Source organism: Homo sapiens, chromosome 16 (genome assembly GCF_000001405.40).
Source record: "Homo sapiens chromosome 16, GRCh38.p14 Primary Assembly".
Taxonomy (NCBI): Eukaryota; Metazoa; Chordata; class Mammalia; order Primates; family Hominidae; genus Homo; species Homo sapiens.
Window position 1 is genome coordinate 86,464,940 of NC_000016.10, and position 3,976 is coordinate 86,468,915.

A 3,976-nucleotide genomic window follows, 5' to 3' on the forward strand; every position below is an offset into this window, starting at 1 on the left:
CTGGGATGGCTGGTTGCTTGGAATATGCCCAGACCAGGGTGACCTAGGTCTTTGCTCATCCTACATAACAGCTTTGATAAACACAGGAAATGCGGTTTTGTTTCCAGACATCACTACTCAAGACTGACGGGTGGGACATGCTCCTTCCAGGAAAAGGCCCTGAACCCAGCCTCAAAATTGACCTCCCTGGATCCCAATGCCGGTGGGACCCCTGAGGCCATCCTAAGTCCAAACCCCACCTCCCTAGGAAGGAAACTCCCGGGCTTGTGGCGGGGCTCTCCAACACTCTTCAGGGGGCAATGATATCACACTCTGAGGACACTATCACACAAGTGATGGAGGCATCACCCACTTCTGTTCTCCATTTGGAAATGCCAAGTCATTCTCAAAGGAGGAGGGGAACAGCCACAAGCATTGGTGTGGGGACGTCCATGAGCCTGATAGGTCAAATCCTAGCACTGCCAGTCAGAGTCATATGACACTCAACGAGTTGCTATGCCTCAGCTTCTGCACACATCCAAAGAAAGTAATAATAGTTCTTGGAGAACCGTTGTGGGAATTAAATGAGGGGCATATGGTGACTTCTAATCATGATGCACTGAATGAATGCTGTTTGCACAGATGGATGAATGAATGGGTGGATGGTGGGTGAGTGAATGGATAAATGAGTGGGTGGGTGTGTGGATGGATGAATGGATGGGTGGATGGAATGGTGGATGGGCAGGTGGGTGGGTGGATGAGTGAATGGATAAATGGGTGGGTGGGTGTGTGGATGGATGAATGAAAGGGTAGATGGAATAGTGGGGGGCAGGTGGGTGGGTGGGTGAGTGAATGGATGAATGGGTGGGTGGGTGTGTGAATGGATGAATGAATGGGTAGATGAAACGGTGGATGGGCAGGTGAGTGAGTGCATGGATGGGTAGATAGATGGGTGGGTGAATGTATGGATGGGTGAACAAATGGATTAGTGATTCAGCCTCTGCCCTTAACAAGTTCAGACCTTCAAGAAAGCACCTCTGCCTGTGCAGCTCCCTTTCCCTGGAGTGTCCTCTCATCCCTCCTTCTTTTTATCCACCTAGAAATTGCCAGGTTCTGAGTCTCCCCATCGTGTTGCCAGGAGACAGTTGCATTTCCACAGGGAGCTCCAAATGTGCACTGTTGAAACCTTAAACAGAGGCTTTTGGGTTACATTAGTTGGGCTCCAGAGGTGAAACCTGATGCCTGCAAACAATAACAAATAATCATCATCATCATAATAATGAAATAAAAGATAAAAATAAAACATGGGTTTAGGGGTGGATAGAGGCATGGAAGGATGTACTGGTAGAGTGAATACTTTCTGTTGCAGGACTGCTCTCCATGGCTGACTTCATTTTATACTTAAAAACAAGCCTATGTGGCACTATGGTTATCATTTCCATTTTACAGATGGGGAAACTGAGGCACGGTGAAAGTTTTTTTGTTTGTTTTGTTTTGTTTCCTTTAAGTAATTTATCCAAGGACACTCAGCAGGTCTTTGTGCGAGCTCAGATTTCAGCCAAGGCTGTCTTGCCCCACACTTGAGGAGCCCCATTTTGCCCAGTGGTTGAGGTTAACAGCATTCTCCTTCCTCCTCGTGCTCTGCTGAGCAAAACTCACGACCTGGCCAAATGCCGTGCTCAGGTTCAGCCAGAAGCAGTGCCCCGGGTGACTGCAGACCCTCCAGAACTTGAGGATCCCACCCTCTGACCCAACACCCACCCCTGAAACTGATACTGTGTGCCTCACACAGAAGGCCAAGGCCCCCAGGACGACGAGACTGCCCTCCGAGCGGCCTGAGCCCAGAGACAGCAGCCTCCATCGGACCCAAGGCCTCCGACCGCCCTGACGAACCTCAGCGGCAGCGCAGACGTCAGAGAGGTTTCTTTCGCAGGCAGCGAGGGGAAACTTGCAACGCAGAGGTGAGTCACCCTAAAAACTCAGTGAAGTAGTAACAGCGCCAGGCATGAACTCCGCTTTCGGCCAAGCCAAACAAATAGCCTGGAGGGAAGGGGTGGTGGTGGGGGTGAGGAGCTGTTATTTCAGTTTATAGGTCTCTAAGGCAGTTTACGAGGCTGCGTGGTCTGTATCATAAGTGGGCAGTATGGTCAATTCTATTATATCTGGGCCCATTCCAGGCCTCAGTGGTTTGAAGAGAAAACCAACTCTGCAGAATAACGGTGCCTCGCCCCATGTCCCCAGATATAACTTTCTTCGATGACTCTTTAAATCTGCCCGCCTTTCACATGGCTGTCCGCCCAGCTGCTGTTCACCAGCTATCACCAACTGTCTTCCCTTAGTTTGTCCTTGGGAAGCTCAACCCAGCGTGGTTCATTTTCTCTAAGTGGATCGCTGCTCAGGGAAAAAAAAAAAAAAGAACGCTCTAGCCTAAACTTTCTCAATCCTGGTGATGCGTTAGAATGATCCAGAGCACCCGACAAGCTAGAGATGCCTAAGGTAGCCCCAGGAGCACAGGTTCAAATGGCCCTGGGGTGGGGGCTCAGGAACTGGTATCTTATAGTGGCCCTGCCCTGCTCTTCGTGTTGCTGAGAGGAGCCTGGGTGAGAACTGTGGCCAGTTCGCGATTGTGGGCATTAGCATTACCTGGGAGGGGGTCACAGATGAGTGTTCATGCCCTCATCCCACTTCCATGTCAGCAGATCTGCGAAGGAGCCCGGGAATCAGCCTTTCAAAGCAGCTTCTTGCACAGCAGGCAGGGCCAGCGCCGGGGAAACACTGCTTGGCCAGTTGCCCCTCCCTGGCCTTAGAAGTATCCCTTGCAAAGGAGGGGACACAGTCTGGTAACTGCCTTCCCTGCTCTCACCCTGGGCTTTCTCCCCCTTACTGCCCCTCCCCAATCACCCTTAGAAGAACATTTCCAATGAGAGGTCCCAGGATCATCCAGCCTCACCCGGGAACTTGTTAGGAAAGCAAATTCCTGGGTTCTATTCCAGACTTACCCACCCAGGAAGTTTGGGAGGAGGACCTGACCGTTTGCTCTAGCAAGACCCCTGGCGTATCCCGAGTGAGGCTCCAGTTGGAGAAACACTAACTTAGAAGAAGGAGGAGACCTATGCTGGGATTTCTTGAGGAGTCACCCCCACTCACTAGCTGTATGATCTTGGAGAAGACGCTTAGCATCTTTGACCCCATTTCTGCAAGACAATGTGGATCTTTGATTTGTGTACATCCTTCGGAGCTGGGCACCTTCACCAAGCTGAAACCCAAGGGCATACATAGGCTGGGCAAGTTTTACCACCCACCCAGTTGCAGACAAGGTAATGGAGGCTGGAGGAGCTGTGCTGCAACCTGCCCAGACACAGCAGTGTATGATGGCGGGGCCTTGTTCTGCCGTCCACCAGGTCTAGGACACCCTCCCCATCCTGCAGAGTCAGCCTAGGTCATTGTCAAGACCAATGCTGACTTTCCAGGAATGCCATAGGCTGCAGAGCACGACTCCCAAGGCCTTGGGCTATGGGTCCCCAAAAGCCAGCAGCGATCAGCACCCAGAGTCCTCCACTGGCCTGGGAGAGAAGGGGGCATTGCTTCAACAGTTGCACTCTAGAATGGTCCCCGCAGTGGACACCAAGAAAGCCGCTCAAGCCAGGATCACAAGGGAGCAGATGGCCTCCAGGATGGGCCCAGGTTCTCCTTGAGAGTGTGTGTCCTTTGGTGCACCCTCCGCACCATCCCTGGGAGCGGGATTCTGAGCACAGTCACCGTGAGGGGGGCAGGGAATTCTAGTGGGGCCTGGCCAAGAGGCTGCCGCCCCAGCCCCACACACTGCAAAGCTTATTTTCCTACCTGCAGTGAGAGGGAGGTCCCAGCTCTGTTCAATGCAGCAGAGAGGGAGTTAGGGTCTGTAAGTAACAACGGGTCGAGCTTGAGAACCTGGAGACCTCAGCTGGGGAATGGGGATGGGCATGCATGATGCAAACTGCTCCCTGGCCAAAGCCAG

At 52.3% G+C, this 3,976-nt stretch overlaps 1 annotated feature.

Moving 5' to 3' along the window:
* Positions 1,398-2,597: an enhancer, noted in NCBI's record as "BRD4-independent group 4 enhancer chr16:86499943-86501142 (GRCh37/hg19 assembly coordinates)". NCBI's record gives its function as "activates an origin of replication core promoter dependent on BRD2, P300/CBP, MED14 and CDK7 cofactors, and independent of BRD4, by STARR-seq in HCT116 cells {active_cell/tissue: HCT116}" and the evidence as "EXISTENCE:reporter gene assay evidence [ECO:0000049][PMID:35650434]".